Below are 22204 nucleotides of genomic sequence, written 5' to 3' on the forward strand. Positions count from 1 at the left end.
GAGGCTGCGAAGACCCTGAGCTCTGGGAGCCCACGGTATTTATTTGTAATCCAACAAAGAAACAGGTGGTGAGAATGTGGCTGTCAAAAGGACACGTTGCATTAAGCACATGATTTACAGCTGTGATGGTTTAGCTTTTCTACGGAACATGTTCTGCTACTTGAGATAATGGGAATACAATCGATCTAGGAGCCTAGGAAGGCTAGAAGCAAGGAGCCAGCAAGTCTAGACACGTTCCAGAGGCCATTATTTCAGTCATGCAAGCCCCATCTCAGTTTCCCTCCCAACACTCAGCTTTTTCCCAACAGTCCCCTGGAAGGTGCTTGCAGGATCTTTTCTCTTGGCGGCTCTGACCAAGCCCCTTCACCCTCCTCCAGGGTTTCCAGCGCCCACGCGGACTCCCCTCTGGGCCTCTGCATTCACCGCTGCCGCTGCCTGGAAAGCTCTCCCCGTCCCCACCGGTGATGTCCCCTAGGAAAGCTCCCCGTCCCCCGGGGTGATGTCCCCTAGGAAAGCTCCCCGTCCCCTCCCGGGTGATGTCCGCTAGGAAAGCTCCCCGTCCCCCCCAGGTGATGTCCCCGAGGAAAGCTCCCCGTTCCCTCCCGGGTGATGTCCGCTAGGAAAGCTCCCCGCCCAGGCTCCCTGGGTATGGAGGAGAGGGGCTGAGGGACGCAGTTTCTGATCACTGCTTGCACACCTCCTGTGATGGGCAGCTCATCCATTACCTCTCAACGCAGCCTGGGCTGGTAAGTGAGTTACAATTCTTAGAAAGGTTTTCCAGCTGCTGACACCAACCTTGACCCCCATTCCCTTTACCGTTCCAAGACCATACAGAGCACACCTCTTCTCCAAATATCTCACTCCTCCTCTATTGATCATGTGCCTATTCCAGACGTGTGTCATGAGGCACACAGGCTCAGGGTGATAACCACTGGCATGGTGGCAGCCCACTGGGCCCTGGAGGTCCAGAGAAGCTCCTGAGCCAGCTGAGAGGGGCCAATCTGGTGGGCTTCCTGTAGGAGGGAACGCCTTAGCTGAGTTCTGAAGGGTGAGTGACATTTGGTTGGGGACCGTAAAGAAAGTATCCCAGGGAGCAGGAATAGTGTGTAGTGGGAGAGAATGTCCTTCTGGAAACAAAGAGAGGTTTTGGCGGGGCTGGAAGGCTGAGTTTGGAAATGGGAAGAAAACGCAAGGCCTGGTGCGGTGATCAAGATGGGAGGTCAGTAACATCCTCTTTGTTTCATATTTCCTGACTCCTTGGCCAGGAAGCAACTAACATCTCCATCTACCAGGTCCACGGCTTCCTAGCATTGGGTTTTACCATTTTAAAAACATTTTTTAATTTTAGATGGGAAAAATATCTTATTGTGTAAATTAAGACAAATTAGCATTTCTCTTGTAAGTGGCGAAGTTGAGCAGTGTTTTCAGATGTGCGCCAGCTTGACAGATGCCACCTCTTGCTGTGAACGTCTCATGGCCTCATGCCCAGCACAGAGCTCGCACCTTCTCAGGCCCCATCCTCTGCTCTGAGCAAAAGGCCAAGGGCGTAGGCTGCCCTGTGGCCACATGGGTGAGGATATGGTGAATCAGTTTCCTGTTCTGCTTCCATTCACCTTTTGTCCCTTCAGGGTTTCAAATTTCTCTCTTCTCTGTTGGAGGCTGGGGTCCCATGTGCCTGTAGCTTTGTCCTTGTCTGAGGTATCTCTGAGCTCAAATTAGAGGGCTGTGAAGCCCCAGGAAGGTATTTGTGGGAGGCAATTCTGATGTGCTGGGTGCCTCGAACACACAACTTCCTGTTTAATTCTCAAAACATCTGCCTGGGGTGGGGACTCTTGAACCCATTTTACAGTTGAGGAAACCAAGGCTCTGAGGACTTGGTTTACAGACCCAACATGCCCACTATCCCAAGGCCAATATGTAAGAGGCAACTCTATTGGCAGCTTTTCTGGGCTTCATTTAACAAACTCCTCTGTAGACATTAAGGTTCTGTTTAATTCATGTTCTAGAGGACAGAGGTTGTTAGCTCTCCATCTTGAGGCAAAACTCTTTGTCCCACCCTGCCCAATCAAGGCATGGAAGCCCTGTTTCTCATCTAGGAAGGGGCTGTGGTGTTCAGCTCAGCACCAACCTTATACTTCAGGGAGAGAAATGGGAAAGAAAAAAAGGGAGAAGAAAGCACATACATTCATCCTCCTCGGAACCAAACTCCTGAGTTAGGCCTTGGTTCTGGCTCCGTGGCTGCCACTAAAATCCCATGTGGCCTTGTTAAATCCCTCCCACCTCTGGCTCTCCACTTCCGCTTCTGTGGAGTTTTTATTCTAGCAATGAAACTTTTCACATATGAGCTCCTGGTTCTTTCTTATATCTGCCTGCTTTTGTCTCATAGTCTCCTGTTCTTTCTTTTCTTTGAGATAAAGTTTTGCTCTTGTTGCCCAGGCTGGAGTGCAATGGCGCGATCTTGGCTCACTGCAATCTCCACGTTCCGGGTTCAAGCGATTCTCCTGCCTCAGCCTCCTGAGTAGCTGGGACTACAGGCACCCGCCACCATGCCCAGCTAATTTTTGTATTTTTAGTAGAGATAGGGTTTCACCATATTGGTCAGGCTGGTCTTGAACTCCTGATCTCAGGTGATCCACCCGCCTCGGCCTCCCAAAGTGTTGAGATTACAGGCATGAGCCACTGCACCCGGCCTCCTGTTCTTGTTTATGGCTGTTATTCCCTTCTTTATCTCTTTGAGTTTTTAATATATTTATTGCAAAATTCTTTTAAGGTTGCACTATTATTCTCTATTTCCTCAGACGTAAATTCTTCCAGTTGGGGAGTTTGTGGAAATTTCATGAAGTGGTTGTGAATCCATTGTCTCTTCAGAATATTTCTTGCATGTGTATCTTGTAAGGGCTGTATATGAGAGCCTGTGCTCTTGGCTTCATACATTAGGGGGCCCTGCATTGGTACTAGCCTCCTAATGGGTAGGTGGTGGGGGGCTTCAACCCTTGTCTCTGGGCATCTCTGCAGTGGTCTCTTGTATACCTGGTATTTTCCTGTCATTGCTAAGTGTTTGAAGAATGGTTTCTATGTGTACTTGGTCTGCCATCTTGAATGAAAGTCCAATTTCACCATCTGTAAACATTTCACAGATGAGGCACCGGAAGTTCAGGGAGGTGGCCTGACTTGCCCCAGTCCACACAGCTAGGAGGGAGAATTTGAACCCAGCGAAACCCTATCCACTCCCCGCTCCTCGGCAGGCCCTGGCCCGGTGCTCCCCTCAGCTCTGACTCATTGCTAGCTCTGCATTCCCTGGACACCTTCTTCCTCAGAGAGCTGGGAGAATGGCCTCTACCCTGTAGACACGCTAAATAAACTCAAAATTTTGTTCTGGTGGACGAAGTGAAAAAAACCAAAACTGGCAGATTAGCTCGGTATAATATGACAAGGCCCTGGACTCTGCAGTCTGGCTGTGAGACCTCAGGGAGGTTACTTAACCTTGGGGAGCTTCAGTCTTCTCATTTGTCACATGGTGATAATAACTGTGTTTACCTTTCTGAGTAGTGATGTGAAGTGAAACAATGCATTAGTTTAGCACTTAGTAGCTGCTTATTAAATATTACTTCCTTCCATGGAGGAAAGCAAACTGGGGATGGGGCCAGGGGAATGTGATAGCTGATCCATCAAATTCCTGAAAGGTTTCATGGGCCAGAGGGAGGAGAGCTTCTCCATGGTCTGAAAAAGAGAACAGAGAATAACAGGGAAGGATCCAGGGAAGGTGACACAGCTGCAAAGTCTGTTCATTGGGGTAAAGAATAATCCCTTCAACAAATGGTACCAGGACAACTTGATTTCCACAAACAAAACAAACAAAAAGTCAGACCTCTATCTCACACATATAAAAAAACTAACTAAAATGGATCAATGACCTAAATATTAAATATAAGAGCCCAAACTGTAAAACTCTTAAGAAAACAAAGAGGTAAATATTTTTGGATTTCGCAGTGGATTCTCAGGTATAACACTCCAAGCACAAGCAATAAAAGAAAAATAGATAAACTGAACTTGATCAATATAAAAATCTTTTACTTTTTGTTTTTAATTTTTATTTGTTTTATTGTTTTTTTGAGACGGAGTCTCGCTCTGTCCCCCAGGCTGGACTGCAGTGGTGCAATCTCGGCTCACTACAATCTCTGCCTCCCGGGCTCAAGCAATCTTCCAGCCTCAGCCTCCTGAGTAGCTGGGATTGCAGGTGTCCATCACCATGACCAGCTAATTTTTGTCTTCTTAGTAGAGATGGGGTTTCACCATGTTGGCCAGGCTGGTCTCGAACTCCTGACCTCAGGTGATCCACCTGCCTTGGCCTCCCAAAGTGCTGGGATTACAGGCATGAGCCACTGTGCCTGGCCAAAAAACCTTTTAATTTTTAAATTAAAGGACATCATCAAAGGGTAGCCCAGAGAATGAGAAAAATGTTAGCAAATCATTTATCTGATAAGGATTTAGTGTTTAGAATGCATAAAGAATTCCTACAATCCAACAACAAAAAAATATCCAACTCAATTAACTGGGCAAAAGACTCGAACAGACATTTCTCCACAGATGCTATACAAATGGTTAACAAACACATGAAATGTGAACTTCATTAATCATAAGAGAAATGAAAATAAAAACCACAGTGACAAGCCACACCTCACACCTCCTAGGATGGCCGTGTGCACACACCGTAACTACGGCTGCTGAGGGTGTGGCGAAATTGGAACCCTCACACACTGTGGGTGGGGATGTGAGATGGTGCAGCCTCTGTGGAAAGCAGTTTGATGTTTCCCTACAAGGCTAAACATGGGCTGACCATCGACCCGGCAGTTCACTTTTAAGTATACACCCCAGTGAATTGAAAACAAGGTCTCAGATAATAGTAAACCAATGTTCACTGCAGCATCATTCACGATAGCCAAAAGGTTGAAACAACCCAAATGTCCATCAAATGATGAATGGATAAACAAAATGAGGTGTATACATTCCATGGAACATTATCCAGCTGATGGAACATTATCCAGCTGAAACAAGAGGGAAACTCTCTTGCCTGCTACAGCATGGAGGAAACTTGAAAATATGCTAGTGAAAGAAGCCAGACACAAAAGGACAAACATCGTATGGTTCCACTTACAGGAAATATCTAGAACAGGCAAATTCATAGAGACGGGAAGCAGATAGAAGTTACCAGGAGCTGGGGGGAGTAGGCAATGAGGAATCATGGATTCACGTTTACAGAGTTTCTGTTGGGAATGATGGAAAAGTTCGGAAATAGATAGGGGTGATGGTTGCACAACACTGTGAATGTAATTGACACTGAATTGTGCACCTAGAAAGTTAAAATGACAAATATTATTAAATATGTTTTACTACAATTTTAAAAATAGCTTAAAAAAACCCACCACCGCCACAAAATATACAGTTACTCTCTGTAAGTCCAGTGAGGATTAAAATACAATGGAAGGTCTCTTGCTCAAGCACAACCAACGTTGTCTATGCCACAATTTATAGACCTGTGTTTTTAAGTTTTGGCTTCAGCAAGGAGGTGAGCAGAACTTTCAGAGGAGGTTAAGGGCTTGGCAGATTTTGCTGGTGACACACCCGGACAGGAGTGGCCTTGATCTTGGTTTTCCCAGCCTCCAGAGCTGGGAGCAATACATTTCTGTTGTTGATGAATTACCCAGTCTAAGGCATTTTGTTGACAGCAGCACACACAGACTAAGACACAAGAGCACCAGCAACAAAAGAAAACAATGGAGAAGGTGGACTTCATGACATTGAAACTCTTTGTACAAGAAAAGTGTATCAAGAAATTGAAAAGAGAACTCACAGAATGGGCCTAGTACTTGCAAATCATATATTGGGGAAGAATCTAACATCCAACTTATATAAAGACCTTTGTATAAATCAACAATAAAAAGACAGTCTAAGTAAAAAATGGACAAAGGATTTGAACAAACATTTCTTTAAGACATACCATTGACTCATTAATGAGCACATGAAAAGATTCTCAACATTATTAATCATTAGGGAAATGCAAATGAGATAGCACTTCCAAAAGAAAAAAAAAGGTAAAGGAAAAATGGGCAAAAACAACTGTGGGAGTGGATGTGGAGAAGTCAGATCACTCGTGCATTGCTGGTGGGGATGTTACAAAGTGCAGCTGCTTTGTAAAACAGTTTGGCAGTTCTTTAAAAATTTAAACATAGATTAACCATCTGACCCAGGAATTCCACTCCTGGGTAATACTCAAGAGAATGGAAAACGTATGTTCACACAAAAACTGGTACATGAATGCATTGTGTATACAGTGGCATTATTCATAACAGCCAAAAAGTGGAAGTAACTCGAATGTCCATCAACAGATGAGTAGATAAATGTGTGGTATATACATACACGGAAGCCTTATTCAGCCATAAGAAGGAATGAAGTACTGATACATATGCCACAGCAGCCACTGACCTCAAAGACTTTACCGAGGTGACAGGATCCAGACACAAAAAGCCACATATTGTGTGATTCTATTTATATGAAGTGTTAAGCATGGGCAAATCCAGAGAGACAGAAGGTAGATAGTGGTTGCCAGGGGCTAGGGGAAGGACAGTGGGTAGTGACTGCTCATGGGCATGGAAGTTGTTTTTGGAGGTGGGGGAGGTGGCAGTGTTGATGAAATGTTCTGGAATGAGAGAGTGGTGATGGTTGCCCATCACTGTTAATACACTAAAAAGCAGTGAGCTTTATACTCTAAAATGGTTAAAGTGCATTTTGTTTGATGTGAATTTTATCTCAGTGTGAAAAAATCCTGCTGTCAGAAGAGTGTCTATTGGACCTGGCCTGTACTGGCACGAGGTTTTTTTTTTTTTTTTTTTTTTTTTTTTTTTTTGCTATTGGTGACTGGCCGAGCCATCTGTTGTGAAGATGGCTGCTTTGTAGTGTGGAAGGCTGTGGGCAGGACATGTCTGCCAACTCTAATGCAGACACTTCCCAGGAACTAATGACTATTAGTCTTTGTAATGCATCTTGAAGCCAAGTGTCTAGATTTTAAAACCCCAGTGTGGGAAACACTGACGGTGAAATTTCCCAAGTAACGGGTGGCCTGTACCTAATCCACAAGGATAGAGTGATAGGCATGTGGCTTCTCTGCCTGACTCTCCATGTCTGTGTGGTGTAAAATATCTCACCTGAGGCCATGTTTCTTACCTGTTGAAAGTTTATTAGCACAGGGCAATGGCTACATTAGGAATATTTATTCACAATGTTGATGATGGGGCTAAACCCAGAATGGTTGGGGAAAACCAGTTCCTTATAATCGATGTGTTGGTACAGTATTTATAATAAATGATTAAAAACTGTTAATCCACTTGGCAAGTTTAAAGCAGGTTTTCTTTGATCAAGAAGAAGCTCTATTTTGTTTTTTTTAAGAAGTCATGGCTCTTCCTTCTCTCTGTAATTTCGTATTGGTCTGATTTTCATCAGGCGAGGAGGCAACAGGCTGGTGGCTATGAAGAGTCCGTTCTGCTTCCCCGCCTGCCATGGGCTGGGCTAGTGAACTGCAGGGGTGTTCTCCATGGAGCAGAAGAACCAGGGTCTTTCTCACTTATGATGCTGCTAGACTGACCCCTGGTGGCCTCTGTGCTGCGACTGGCTGCGTGAGGCCAGGTGCGGGTTCTGGGCCATCCCCTCACTCCCTGTTCACTGCCATATGCTAGCTGGGCGGGGTTCCCTCCCACTCAGGGTGTTCTCAATGGGGCACCTACCCAGCATGCACTCTCCAAGGTTCCCGCCACCTCTAAAAGACACTGGATTCTAATTTTATAAAACGTACAGCACCGTAGCACTGTAAGGCCAAATTCTAGTTTCCATATATAGCTTCCCATAACATTGCTCCTGAAAGCGGAGCCACAGGCTTTCCCTCCCGTGGGAGGCCATGAGCCCGGGGCTGATTGCGGATCTCATGTGCTCTTCTTAGGTCCGTGACGGTTTAGTCTGGGAGTGCGTTTGTAGAGGGAGTATTGCTTACAGTGGATGTGACACTTCCCTTTTTTTTTTTTTTTTTTTTTTTGAGACGGAGTCTCGCTCTGTCGCCCAGGCTGGAGTGCAGTGGCGCAATCTCGGCTCACTGCAAGCTCCGCCTCCCGGGTTCACGACATTCTCCTGCCTCAGCCTCCCGAGTAGCTGAGACTACAGGCGCCCGCCACCAAGCCCGGCTAATTTTTTGTATTTTTAGTAGAGACGGGGTTTCACCGTGTTAGCCAGGATGGTCTCGATCTCCTGACCTCGGGATCCGCCTGCCTCGGCCTCCCAAAGTGCTAGGATTGCAGGCATGAGGCACCGCGCCCGGCTGACACTTCCTATTTTTACAAAAGGCACAGACTAATAGCACGCATAGTGCGCTGTCTGTGTGGGAAAGGAGGGAGATGGGAGTGCTTTTCCCAAAAGGACGTTTATAGAGCAGGGACAAGGGAATGATGGCAATAGGTCTTTCTAGGCAGCAGCAAGCCCTGCTGGCTTTGGAGTTCCGGGTGGGCAATGACTGTCAGGGGTCAGGTCTGTGAGAGTTGCTAGGAGCATGCATTCTGCAGAAGCGGGAGGGGACTGACGGCAAAGGAATTAAGTTACAGAAGGATCCTGAATGCATGAAAATTTGCAGCCCCACATTGCCTTAACTGGAAAAGGAGGTGGTGCTTTGTGGGCATAGGAATCTGATGCAGCCTCCTCTCCCTGCTGCAAAATATCTGGCTGGGAGGAATGGTCCAAATCCAGTCCCTCTAAGAACCTTGTCCCTGGACATGCTGCCGCAGTTCTGCTGAGAGGCGGGGCTGAGGCAAACGGGAGCCCAGGCTGGCGGTGGACCCAGTGGTGAGGGTGGGAGGGATGAGGGCGTGGGAGGAGGGGCCCCAGGCAGTGGCAAGGAGCTCAGGAGGCTCCAGATTGGTGGCCTCATGCCCCCTGCCAAATGAGTTCCATCCCCATCAGGAAGTTGCCATTTCTAGGGGTTTAACACTGGGAAATGTCTTTGGAATACCACAGTAACAGACAATAGGAAGTGCTACCACTTATTTATTTGGCCTCATGTTTCACACCATCCTCCTGAGGATGTTTGTTTTGCATATAGGGAAACTGAGGCTCTGAGAGGGGCAGAGTGTGCCCAAGGGCCATGATCAGTAAATGGCAGAGCCAGGACTGGAACCCAGGCCACACTCATCCATGCCACTGCACTCATGTGTACACCCAAATGGTCAACGCCCTTCCCCGCAGTGCAGCAGCAACGCACCGCAGTTAAAGCAGCTGGGCTTGTTGCTCCCTGCAGCAAGGGGGACCCAAACAACAGTGAGCTGGGGTGTCTCCTAAGAGGGTGTCAGGAAGTAGCAATTGTAGGATGTGGGCCTTGGTTATTAGCTTATTTGGGGGGTGGGTCTATGGAGTCAGGGGTTTGCTCTGGAGTGGAGGCTGGCTCAAGAGTGTCTAATGAACGCAGTCTATAGTTACACCAGAGTTAACAGTTTTTTCCTGTCTGTTGTAAAGCGAGTTGTTGAATCGCATGATGAAAGAAATGGTGTGCAGTACCATCTAAAACTCTAGACAGGAGATACTAGCCAACCATTTACAGGTAATTACGAGAAACGCAAGGACTGTTAGTCCTCGTAACAGGTCTGCAAGACAAGGGCCTAGAGCGCCTCCAGGTAATGGGCGCATGTTCCAGAAGCCAGCTGGGTTGGCTTTAGAGGTCAAGGCTTTTTCTAATAGTCACAAACTGTCCTGTTCCCCTGTGGTGTTTTTCTAGGTATAAAAAAGGAGTATTTGTTATGGCATGACCTGTCCCTTTGCTGGCTAAGAGGAAAATAAAGCTTATATGACTGTCCTTGATAACTCTAAAGAATGGACTTAGATTAGTCGGTTGGACTTTCAGAGCAGAGTGGTCTCGTTTATGGCTTCAGCTAAAATTACCAACTAGTTTTGAACTCTCTCTCTAGTCGTTTTATTCCTTTGGTGGGAACTGGAGTTTGCAGAGTATGCATGAAGAGCAAATCAAGGATCGCTACTGGAAGGTTTTGGAATCATCTATGATAATTTTACGCTGGATTGCTGGGTATTCTTTCAAAGAATGGATTACTGGAGACGTGGGTGTTGTAAATATCTGAACATATCTAACCACTCTGAATATACATGAGTGTGTGGCAGACCAATATAAGCCTGACATGGGCTAATAAGATGTAGTGTCCCACTGAAGCACAGATCGTATGGGGAGCATATTATTATAATAGCAATAAATTTCGTGTCTTTGTGTGCCTTTTGTACAGAAGCTGTAGATCACGTAGAGGCGGGTGTGTTTTGGATATACTGTATAGTTCATATTTATGTTGAGATAAAGCTGGAAATAAAATGTAATCATGTAGAATCTAAGATGGGATGAAGCTTCAAACTGTATACAGTGGCATGTTATGAATTCATAAGAAGCAACATGGGACCTAGAGGTGGTTGATCGTATAATGCTAATGGTAATTTCTTAAGATGTAGAATTTTGGAGGTTTCTGAGAGGTATGCTATTTTTAAAAAAATTCCATTAGTTCTGTTTTTCTAGAGGACTGGAGAAAACAAGGACAGTGAAATCTCTGGATTAAAGGCACAACTTCAGTGTTTCTTAATAACAGTATGTCTTAGTCCCTTTGTGTTGCTGTAAAGGAACACCTGAGGCTGAGTAATGTGTGAAGAGGTTTATTTGGCTCAGGGTTCTGCAGGCTGTAGAGGCAGCAGCATTGGCTTCTGCTGAGGGCCTTGGGCTGGGTGCACTCCTGGTGGAGGTGAAGGAGAGCCCCGTGCAGACCACACGGTGAGAAAGGGAGGAAGAGGGAGGTGGGGGAAGGTGCCAAGCTCTTTTCAACAACTAGTTCTTGTGGGCACTAAGGGTGAGCACTTAGTCCCATGAGAATGGCACCAAGCCATTCACGAGGGCTCCATCCCCTCCACCAAGCCCCACCTTCCACACTGGGGATCATATTTCAACAAGAGACTCAGCAGGGCCAAACAAACCACAGCATTGGTCTGGAAAAAGGAGTATCTCTGTCATTAGAAGTAAGTGGGGATTTTCCAGGTTGGAAAACAAAATCAAGCACTTTTTGTCACTCTGGCAGGGAAATTTTCAATCCACAGTGAATATAAACAAACAATAACCAGAATGTATTTATAATCCACGGCAGAAGGCATTTGTATGGAGTCTACTTGGAGGGGTCTGAAGGGCCTTCAAGCTCTCCAGTTCCTGCTCACGTCTACATTTAAATGTTTTATCAGGATTTCATTCACAGGGGGATGTTTTGTAACCATTATTGGCAATACCTCTAAAATTACCTGGCTTAATTAATATTGTTGCCAATTTATTTTTACAGCTATCTAATTATGGGTAACATCATGAAGAATTTTTGTTAGATTCCACTATCACCTTTTTTCATGACATCAGCTGGCCCTCCTAAGATGTAAAAGGCATCAGAACTTTCCCCATTTTCTTTTTTCAAACCAGGGGCTTGTTCTGACACTAATAGCAGCCTCTGAATTTCTCAAGACCGGTGAGATCACAGGAGTGTTTCTATAGGCTGATCTTGTTTCTTTAGCACAGTGGTCAGCCCAAACACTGCCATTAGGATCTGAGTCTTTGTATTTGAATGACCTTTTACTATTACTATAGCTAAGATAGCAAAGCATCTAAAATGTCTTTGTTATCCAACTTCTACAGGCATTTGTCAGGGTTAGAAGCCTGTTCCTAAAGCATTCAAATTTTGTGGACTAGCCCCAATCACATTTATTTATACTATCAATATAAACATTTGTTCTTTTATTTTTTCCAACCTGCCCATGTGGGAGCAAATGTTTTAGTCATCTGTGATGACCTAATTTCTGGGATTGGTCTATATTTTAAGGGTGAATTTAACTCTGTGGTAGCATTTTGAAATAGGAACAAGTAAAATTAGGACAAGGCTACTCAAAGGCATCTCTAACAAAATTACTAAAGCGTATTTTTTACATTGAGAGTTAATAATTTGGTGACAAAAAGGAATCTTTCTTCAAATTTAGCATAACTAAATCACTTTACTTGTGTGAAAATAATTCAAAATCAAAGCTGTTGAAATTTTATTTAGAGCCTTAAAGGAATGTGATGATGAGGCCTGAGTCATGCAACAGGCACCTATAACCTGTTTCTCTGATCATAGACTATCCTTTTTCTTTACCTACACTGTTTTGTAAAATGTTATAAAAAACTCATGGGCAGCAGGGAAGACCCCTTTCCTCCTAACTGTTGATCGTCATTATAATTTCCCTCTTTCTTCTCTTACACAAGGACCTCACAACTACTATACTCTCTAAATCACAATGTTAAATATAGTCTTTTCAATTGGAAAGAAAAAACATCAAGCTGTAACTAATCAAATTGCTGTAGCTCATAAGCCAGACTCATATGGAAAATGCCGTGATTCCACTAAATGTGTTTTCTGCCTGTATAAAAGAGACCTTAACCTTTTAGCTCCGGAACACTGACCCCTTTCCTTTGGAGTCTGTGTTTCCCGGATGGCTAAAACAGTCTTTTAAATGAGATTCTGATCCTTTACATTATTTCAGGTTGTCATGAAAAATCCAAATTCTAATTTCACTCCTTTGATACACAGTTTAGGTAAAAAAACATTTAAAAAAGATTATACCTTTGTTTATACGTATTTATATAAACATATAAGATACCTGGGCATAGCAGCTCATGTTTGTAATCCCAGCACTTTGGGAGGCTGACGCAGGAGGATCGCTTGCGCTCAGGAGTTTGAGACCAGAGGGGGCAACGAAGCAAGACCTCATCCCTATAAAAAACAAAAAATAAAAAAATAAAAAAAAATTAGCCAGATGTGGTGGTCCGTGTCTTTTGTCCCAGCTACCTGGGAGACTGAGGTGGGAGAGCTGCTTGGGCCTGGAAGTTCAGGGCTGCAGTGAGCCTATGATTGTGCCACTGCACTTCAGCCTGGGCGACAGAGCAAGACCCAGTCTCAAAATAAATAAAGACATCCACTATCATTTCATGTAAATATAATTATATACAACCTGTAATTTTAAATTCAACCTTGGCCTAGTACAAAGCGACTATCATGCCAACAAGTGTTCACTGTAAACAGACTGAGTTGTGTCAGATCTTCAGATTTGGTGGGTATGTTGCCACTCAAATACCTACCCTTAGAGTAATTATTTGGAAAGCACAAGTAACAGAAGAGACCCTTGTTTGTATCTTCTCCCAAGTACACAGTGTTTCTCTCAAGCCTGCTGGCGAGGCTCATGGGGTGAAATTAGAACTTAAAAAAGGAGTTTGGTCGGGGGGGGTCTCAGGCGATTGTTCTGATGAAGCAAGTTTAGAATCAATTCCTGAGATACTCTTTCTGAGGAAAAGTCTGCCAATACAGTTTTTTTCTTATCTTTTTTTTTGAGATGGAGTCTTGCTCTGTCTGTCTCCAGGCTGGAGTGCAGTGGTATGATCTTGGCTCACTGCAACCTCCACCTCCCAGGTTCAAGTAATTCTCCTGCCTCAGCCTCCTGAGTAGCTGGGATTACAGATGCACAGCACCACCCCCAGCTAATTTTTGTATTTTTAGTAGAGACGGGATTTCACCATGTTGGCCAGGGTAGTCTAGAACACCTGACCTCAGTTGATCCGCCCACCTCGGCCTCCCAAGGTGCTGGGACTACAGGTGTGAGCCCCAGCGCCTGGCCCAGTTTTTCTTTGGTTTAAGTGAGGGTTTATATGAAGCTCACCTGTATGTAGAGCTTTACACGTCATTATCTGCTTTGGTGTAGAAAGAGAATCCCAAGACTTGAATTTGTCCTGATCGTGCAAGTGCACGTAGGAAACCCTGCTGCTAACATTGTACAAGGCCTGATGTCAGCCTACACACCATAGCTCTGGTTGCACAGGAAATCTGGTGTCCCCGAGGGACAAATCACAAGTTGTCAAAACAATGAGACTTGTTCTGTGAGCTTTGGTATAAAGCAGAGAAAAGGTCAGGTTCACAATCACGCCAAATAACATTTTGACTAAATCACTCCCACCTTCATGGGGATAGTTTTGATTTCATGATGTAACTAGCCTCCAACAGAACATTTATGTTACCTAGCAAAGCCTGGCTTTAACACAGACTGGAAACAAGACAATGAGAAAAGCAAGTTGGAACAGGCAAGATTAAACCAACCGATGCGTTGTGGCGTACCGAGACTCGCCTCGTGTCTGTGTGAACTCAACAGGGACCATGGAGGAGCTGAAAGTCTTAAAATTGGAAAAGGGTCAACACACTTCTAGTTAAAAGAAAAAAAATAAAATTTAGATGTGTAGTCTTTACTACTGCACCTTACAGGCTTGGCTAAGTCATTTCCAGTCTGCACCAAGGCTCCGTTTCCAGCAGCCCCAGCTGGTATTTCTACATGGCACCCTGTGTGACTGCCACCTGTGGCTCCATTCCTCAGTAGCACACAGGTTGCTTTCCATCCAGCCTGGCTTTGGGGTATAGCTGTATTAGCAGGTAAACTGCTAAAGCATTTTAATACCAGTGGGTAAATAGCTGTTTCTAGTACCCCCAGCCCCTGTGCCATAGCCCAAGGCATCCCCCCTTGTCTCCAAGCCATCATTTAGAAATGAAAGGGCCAAAGGGGCACTGCATGCTGTGTTGCTGCTGGTAAGCTCCCACAGGTGGCCCCCAGAGCCCTCCCCCAGGCTGCCCGAGTCCCTGCTGTCTTCCCTCTGTGCCCCTGCTGTCTTCCCTCTGTGCCCCGCTTCTCTCCTTTTCTGTCTTCCTCTCACCATACAACTTCCTCAGACTGAAGGCTGGTAAAGGTTGGCCAGTGTTAGAACATGCAGTGGTGAGTTGGACACAGACTGTTCCTGAGAATGGTGACTGTGACCAGAAGGAAGGCAGCACAGTGGGTGCCATGTGAATCTGCGGTCAGCCTGACCTGGGGCCTCTGAGCCAGCACTGCCCAGCCAGGTTCCTCAAGTATAATGGAGTAACCCAACATATCCCAAAGTGTTAGCCAGGTACCTGACAGAGTCAGTATTCAATAAATGGTAGCAATTACTGCTTTTTATGAGGCCTTTTAGGATAGTGGCAGAGGGAAAACGCTTACTGGATGAATCCAAACAGGCTTTCAAGTTGTTTTCGATCAAGGACCCTCCATGATTGCCATGGGAACACACAGAACTCCATTAGACTGCAGGAAGTTCCAGCAATGAGAAGGCAAACCCCGTCTTAACCTGTCAGCTCCACAGAGTAAGGCAAGGATAAGGTGGTTTACTTTGGTGTGAGAAAATCCTAATAAATACACCTTGTGTGTAAAAAAAACCACAAAACAAGGCTTTTGAAAAAAGCATCATTTATTTCAAAGTACAACACAAAGTTGTATTTTTAAGAAATACACATTCAATCTTGTATCTCAAGACTTGGCTATGTGCATTTCAGTTCATCTTTAAAATAAGTTCAGGTATACAAATGTTACATACCTCAAGTACAAACAGCACAGAAAATGCATATGGTCTCAACTGAATGTTTTTACATTCATTCACCGTTCTTAAGTTGACTTACATTTCTGTAATCTGCTTTTAAACCAAGACAGCCTTACTTTAAAAAAATACTCTATTTTCAGCACAAAGTCCTCATACAGTTTTAAAATTAGATCTTGGCGCATAATATTGAGAAATTATTAAAAACCAAACTTGGTAATTTAACAAAATTGTCACATGCCAGGATTTCTGAATCAACTCAAATTATTTCCTTAGCTGTAATGTCAAATCTGTGTTCATACAGATAAATAAAGCATGGGGAAGACAGGTGGTGAAAACGCAGTAACGGGAAAGGTTCTCAGATGTACAGGTCTTATTAGAGTTTGTGGCTGAGTCCAGACTTTTCTCTAAAAGCACAACAGCAAATCTCATGTTATCATAATTGCAAGAAAGATCTGAAAGAAGCGAGTGGTCTGAGCCTGCCCTGCTTGGGTCTGTTTTGCAAAGAAGAGGAGGGTGGGGAGGGGAGCTGCAGTAAGAGCCTTAAAAAGATGTCTCAGAAACTGGCACATCATGATCTAGACGAGGGCCCACTATGTTTGTTTGTTTTTTGCTTAATTTAATTCTCGTGAGGAAAGTGCGAATTAGACCAAGGGTCCGAGCTTCTTCTTCCAATCGTGGGGCTCCATATCCGCCACGGGTTGTAGGTCTGTCCCAAGTCGTCAGCTGGACTGGAGGTGGAGGGAGCGTGAGGAGCAGGGGAGTTTTCTGTGCCCATGAGGCCGATGCTTGCCAGCGTGTTTGCTGGAGTGGTGAAGGGAAGGGCGCTGCTAAGGTTGCTGGACCAAATGGAGCTGCTGAATGGAGTGGTGGACCACAGGCCGCTGGTGTTACCGAGGACCGACTGCGACAAAACAGAAAGCGTCCAGCACTGAGCCCGGCAGGCAGAGGGTCAAGTGGGTAAGGGGGTAAGGCTACAGAAAAGATGAGGCTGGGGCACGCATTCCTCTTACTTTGTTTACTTTAGAACAAATGTTATATATATGTATTTGAGCAGATGTTTCTGATTTTTTTGAGACAGGGTCTTGCTCCATCACTCAGGCTGGAGTGCAGTGGTGTGATCATGCCTCACTGCAGCCTCAAACTCCTGGGCTCAAGTGATCTTCCCACCTCAGCCTCCCAAAGTGCTGGGATTACAGGCACTAGCCATCATGCCGGCTAGTTGTGATATTTTAAAAAAGACAGCTTGTGGACCAAATCCAGCTCTGCCTACTTTTGTAAAGAGAGTTGTATTGGAACACAGCTGCGCCCATCGGCCTGTGCACTGCAATGGCAGTGGTGAAGCATGGCCTTCAGAGCCTCAAATAGTTACTATCTGACTCTTTATAGAAAGTTTGCTGACTCCCACTTTGGGAGGCCGACGTGGGCGGATCACGAGGTCAGGAGATCGAGATCATCCTGGCTAACATGGTGAAACCCCGTCTCTACTAAAAATACAAAAAATTAGCCGGGTGTGGTGGTGGGCGCCTCTAGTCCCAGCTACTCAGGAGGCTGAGGCAGGAGAATGGCATGAACCCAGGAGGCGGAGCTTGCAGTGAGCCGAGATTGTGCCACTGCACTCCAGCCTGGGCTACAGAGCAAGACTCTGTCTCAAAAAAAAAAAAAAAAAGTTTGCTGACTTCTCTTTTAAAGAATGGTTAAGGTGGTTTTAAAACATAAGGCTGAATAATTACACATGAAGACAACCTTTGGAATCTGTAAAGTTGAAATATCTGTTATAAAACCTTGCATGTTTAGTTTCTCTGAGAACAAAGAGGCAAACACAGTGGGGTCATATTTTTCTGTCATAATTTTGTGGAAGCCAAAACCACTAATTATTTTCCTTGGCAAGAATACTCTTTTCAGCATGGTCTTTGCAGAAGACTTTAGCCAAGAAGCAAACAAATGCACTCTTGAAAATCTAACCTAAGAGACAGGTGCTTCTCAGCAACAAAGTAAATGCAGTATCTAGCTTGCTCCTGGGTGGCCAGTGGCTGCATTGCACAGATGCCGAAGGCTTCCCTCAACCATCTGAACCTGCCATAGGCCTATGGTCACCCTTGTGGTCCATTTACAGGTTGGGAAGAGGCAGAAAATGCCCTTGAGCTATTAGGAGGGACTCCAGAGACCAACCCCATAGCTGTTCAGTTGTTCTTCCTAAAACTTCCTGATTGTAATGGCTCTGAAGAACATCGATCAGTCATTTTGACAGAATATGAAGACAAAGCAATGGAGACAATAAAAGTACTAACCCACCCCTCTGATGCTGCTGTTTGTTGTTTATAACTATGTCAGTGCCATCCATGTCACAGCAATGGCAGATGGCGAGTGGGTGGGCCAGGTCCAGGCCCCAGCCCCAGCCCCAAGTACTCACTGTGGCTGTGTGGGTCGGGGAGCCGGAACTGGCTGGCCAGGAAGGACTGGGATCTGTCGCTGGCGACTCCCAAAGGTATGAAGGGCCACTATTAAACTCGTTCCAGCTCCTCTGTGAGGCCTGATTGCACGATCGAGATAATCCGAGTTTGCTGAAAACTTCTGGAAATAAAGCAACAGTCATCAAGTCCATATTTGGTTTTGCCATGATCACTATAGCATATGGGGCTTCACTCAATGGCATACCTCCAACCACTGCTCCTGGAGCCACCACACCCACTTCACCAGCCCACCACAGCCCAGAGGAAGTAGGGGCAGGAGTGTCCTCCAGAACTCAAACGCATAGTGCACGAGCTGATATGCCACCAATGACATCCAAATGCAAACTTTCCCCACTCTCACATGATAGCTAATGGGAAGCTTCCATGGTGACCTCTAGTTCTGGACAGCAAGAAGAGGACCCCTGGCACACTCAGGGGTCCCATTTCAGACCAGAACCCTTCTGTGAAGCCCTTCAATACCCGCCATGGAACTCACACCAACTGGTGTGCGCACACCGTGTCGAGCCTGGTCCACTGCCCCTCTGGGCTGCTGGTGTGGATGAGGGAGGAAGAGGGGAGGGGACCCTTCCCAGGGAGCTTCCTGCGGGGCCTCTTCCACAGTGCTGCTGTGCTGTGTTCTCCAGCACACAAAACCACACCTCCTCTCCCTTCCTCTGTCCACAGGCTTATTAGTTACACATCTAGTGTTAAACACTCACCACCAGTTAGATTAAAAGAGTTTCCAAAGGCGGAGAACGAATTGAGGGGAGTGAAGTCAGGGCTGCTTGGGTTGCTGACGGGACTCCACAAACCCGAGCTAAATGTTACAAGAGGAAAACGCAACACACAAAAATGTATGGTGGTTAGTGCAAACGGATCCATAGTGCACAGCTTCACAAACAGGAGACACTGCTTCAACTGGGGGTACTCAAATATTAAAAACAGACAAAAGGAAGAGCTGAACAATGGCTGCTTACCACAAGGGTTGAGTCGGAGGGAGCCCCAGAGCTCCGGATGCCCTATCACTAGCTCACAGCCAGGTTCAAAGCAAGTGTTTTGCAGAGAAACAGACATTTTTTCCTTCTGTTTGCTTTTTGGTACTGGAAGATTTATTTAAAAACTATTTCAAATCTAGAACTCATTTCCTATTAGTGCAAAGTAGGTAAATTGGGGCTCTATTGTTGCTTATCTGGAAAAGTCAACCAAGGTGACTGCTGCAGGCCACCACACCCCCTGCATGATAAACAAGCCTGCTCAAGAAAGAGGCGTGGCCAGTGATTTACTATAAATTGGCTAGTATTTGCTCCAGATTTCCCCCCTCCCAAGTCACTTTCGCTCTTCTATTTTTAATGATCAGATCACATCTTACCACAGACCAGGAGATGGAGGAGAGTGAGAACAGGTGTAACGTGTGTCTGCCTGGCTGAGACAGGCATGGGTGCCCCCTTTCTCTATCTGGACCCCCTGGGGAAGGCACCGCAGCCGGCTTTCTGCTTCCACCCAGCAGACATGATTTCTTAGAGGCACTTGACCACTTCTGACAAATGCCTCCTTGTAAATTAGGGGAAAAATGCCCTGAAACCCATTTATGGATAAAAAGGTGCTAACCCGACTTGAGAAGCCTTCCGTCTTTCTAGCGGTTAGTGGTGGTCTACCGTACCTGTCTGAGCCATCGCTGTCAACAGGAGCGTGTGAAATGCCAAGGCTGCTGGAGAAACCTGTTTTGTTTGAAGAAACTTTAGCAAAGCCATTCCCACCTGTAACAATGGACGTTCAATCAATGGAAGGCACATTAGGACAGAGGTCATTCCACCAGGCCTGGCGCCTGGCGTGGCAGGTCTCTGAAGCAAAGGCACTGACCTGGGCTCTTGTCGTAGCCAGCCGTGACTGCAGCAAAAGTGGGGTTGCCGTTCTTGCCCGGGAGCGAGGCTGCCTTTGTCAACTTGTGTTTGCTTCCATTTGGCTGTTTTATTTTAGGGTCACTTGAAAAAGAAGCAAAGAGAGAACTCATTCCTCATCAGCAGTGCCCTGTCTCGGGGAGGTGTGGGGCTGGCAGGACTGAGCCCTGAGTGGGCTTCTCTGCAGCGGGGCAGCTCACAGAGCATCGCTCAGCCTCATGTCACATGCTCTGGGGCCTCAGACTGCTTAATCAGACAGAGATAGAGGGCTTTCTGGAGAAAGGTAAGAAAACAAAAGATCACTATGAAAGAGACCAGGGCAGGGATCACAATTTAGGGACTGGCAGAGGCTTCGATCACACTTTTGTGAAGAATGCTAGAGAGCCACTCGGCAGGAAATGCAGAGGGCAGCCACCGACACCGGAAAGGGCGGGGCCTCAGGGAGTCTCCTTCCCTGCCAGGACACGGCGAGGTGCTCCTGTGGCAAGGCCCAGAAGCGGGGTGGCTCCCCCAGCCTCAGTGGTTACTGCCTCTTGGGCAACGGCGGGGAGGACCTGACCCTAGGCTGGCCGGTGACGCGATGCACAGAAACCCACGCCACGGCGAGGCACACGGTGAGAGTGCCATCCGTGACTGTCAGGCTTGCGGTACACTGTGGCAGGCGGACACGAGTGAGGCTCCGTGCCTCGGAGAACAGCATGCTTCCTGCATCCTGTCTGTGTGGTCAGGAGGCTGCCCTCCCGGGTGCACACATCCCCTACTGCAGCACCTCACCCAGCACAACGGTCTTGGACCAGGTCCTGCCCTTCTAAGTCCTAAGCCAAATTGTCCAAAGGCCAAAATTAGTGTCACATAAACCCATACTCCCAACTCACAGGAATCCCCTTTAGGTCTTCATGTAAGGCTTAGTAAATGTTCATTGGCTCACTGAGAATATCACTCTAGTGAGTTAAATGGTGCATTTCTCGGTCCACAGGTGGTAAGAATGAATGGATTAGAATGGGAACCGGGTTACTGTTGGAGCTGGGCACAGCAGCAGGAAGCGGGGGTGGACCCCAGGTAAAAGGGTCCACACAAGCTGGCAGCCATCAGAAGTAACACCAGACAGTGGCCTGTGGCCGCTAAGTGTTTCCATTTAAAGGGTGTGACATCGGGTTTTAGGCACATTTCAAGCTGAGAACCGGAAAGGAAGCAGCAGGCCTACCTGCTGGAGCTGCTGTTGACGATGCTGCTGTAGCTGCCCCGGGCCACAAAGGGGCAGGGGGCAGCTGGGGGAGACGGGGAAGCAGGTGTCGGTGAGGTCTGGCGTTGTTTTAAGAAAATGTCTGCGTTGAGGGTTTGCAGAGAAAGTTTATAAAGACTATCAGTAGCTGGAAATTAAAAACAAACGGGCTCGTTAGTGTGGTGTTTTGATTAGCGCTCTTCCAAATCACTTTGAATGTTCTCTAAGACTATGCATAACTCAAGCCCTTCTACAAAGAAAACAAACGAAAGCTCTTAGATGTGTTCTGTTTAACAGGTTTTAAAGAGAAAGCAGCCACATCTCTCTGCACTCGGGGATTTGAGGGGAGCAAGAGCGTGCCCGGTCCCTGCTGTGTTGTGTGGCGGACAGTCAATGTCTTCACTTCTCCCACCTCAGGTAGGGGAGGAGGGTCTTCCACATCCTCCAGGGGTGGACAGCTGAGGCCGCTGCCTGGGGACCTGGAAAATCCTTGTGCCTACACGCAGGTTTACAGCTGTGGGAGGTGCAGTGTTCCGGGCTGAATCCCCAAGTTCAGTAAAGCCTCTCCATTGGCGTGACTGGGATGTGCAGCTCTGATCCCTATTAAGCTCCTAGTATATTCCTGTGCCCTTTAAAGTAATGTCTATACAGCTGTTTTAAAAATCTAAAACAGGCTGGGCACAGTGGCTCGGACCTGTAACCTCAGCACTTTGGGAGGCTGAGGTGGGAGGCTTGAGCCAGGAGTTTGAGGCTGCAGTGAGCTATAATCACACCATTGCACTCCAGCCTGACCCCATCTCTGAAATTAAAACAAAAAATTTCAGTCATAAAATAACATTCTCTACTCAGTAAACGGAAATATGTATACCTTTTATCAGAAAAATGTATCATTTTGCACATCTATTGTGTGCAACTTGGTGCTGCTGTAGCTACTGCAAGAGGAAGAAGGTGGGGGAGAGCTTGGACCTGTGAATTCCCATCACCACAGGGCACGATCCCCAGCCCAGGCCTGGCCAGCTCGCTACCTGGCTGGCCCCTCCTGCCTTGTGAGATTTCCGCGTACCCTGAGTACCCCCGGCTCCACTTCTCCCGTCCC

General features: G+C 46.4%; 2 protein-coding genes across 11 annotated transcripts in view, besides 4 other annotated features; one reads left to right on the plus strand and one right to left on the minus strand.

Annotated features, from left to right (window-relative positions):
* The window catches only part of ZAP70 (zeta chain of T cell receptor associated protein kinase 70), a 42789-nt gene extending 27369 nt beyond the window's left edge, over window positions 1–15420 (plus strand). For 2 of the 3 annotated variants that reach the window (XM_047445775.1, XM_047445776.1), the window contains exon 14: window positions 378–15420. In XM_047445775.1, coding sequence (XP_047301731.1) covers window positions 378–465 — 88 coding nt within the window. In that variant the 3' untranslated portion in view covers window positions 466–15420. The remainder of the gene's footprint in view (window positions 1–377) is intronic. The other variant, XR_007081582.1, reaches the window with a different exon arrangement.
* Window positions 4697–4806: a silencer, noted in NCBI's record as "silent region_11794". NCBI's record gives its function as "represses an Ori minimal core promoter by ATAC-STARR-seq in GM12878 lymphoblastoid cells {active_cell/tissue: GM12878}" and the evidence as "EXISTENCE:reporter gene assay evidence [ECO:0000049][PMID:35858748]".
* Window positions 7799–7848: an enhancer, noted in NCBI's record as "active region_16243". NCBI's record gives its function as "activates an Ori minimal core promoter by ATAC-STARR-seq in GM12878 lymphoblastoid cells {active_cell/tissue: GM12878}" and the evidence as "EXISTENCE:reporter gene assay evidence [ECO:0000049][PMID:35858748]".
* Window positions 7859–7908: an enhancer, noted in NCBI's record as "active region_16244". NCBI's record gives its function as "activates an Ori minimal core promoter by ATAC-STARR-seq in GM12878 lymphoblastoid cells {active_cell/tissue: GM12878}" and the evidence as "EXISTENCE:reporter gene assay evidence [ECO:0000049][PMID:35858748]".
* TMEM131 (transmembrane protein 131) overlaps window positions 15392–22204 on the minus strand; it is a 239613-nt gene continuing 232800 nt past the window's right edge. For 6 of the 8 annotated variants that reach the window (XM_047443844.1, NM_015348.2, XM_011510869.2 and 3 more), the window contains 6 exons: window positions 21091–21256; window positions 19849–19970; window positions 19649–19745; window positions 18708–18805; window positions 17949–18109; window positions 15392–16439 (listed from right to left, as the gene is read on the minus strand). In XM_047443844.1, the coding sequence (XP_047299800.1) occupies window positions 16155–16439; window positions 17949–18109; window positions 18708–18805; window positions 19649–19745; window positions 19849–19970; window positions 21091–21256 (929 nt within the window). In that variant the 3' untranslated portion in view covers window positions 15392–16154. The remainder of the gene's footprint in view (window positions 16440–17948; window positions 18110–18707; window positions 18806–19648; window positions 19746–19848; window positions 19971–21090; window positions 21257–22204) is intronic. The other 2 variants (XM_047443843.1, XM_005263910.2) reach the window with 1 other exon arrangement.
* Window positions 20341–20560: an enhancer, noted in NCBI's record as "active region_16245". NCBI's record gives its function as "activates an Ori minimal core promoter by ATAC-STARR-seq in GM12878 lymphoblastoid cells {active_cell/tissue: GM12878}" and the evidence as "EXISTENCE:reporter gene assay evidence [ECO:0000049][PMID:35858748]".

This window comes from Homo sapiens, chromosome 2 (genome assembly GCF_000001405.40).
Source record: "Homo sapiens chromosome 2, GRCh38.p14 Primary Assembly".
Lineage (NCBI taxonomy): Eukaryota > Metazoa > Chordata > Mammalia > Primates > Hominidae > Homo > Homo sapiens.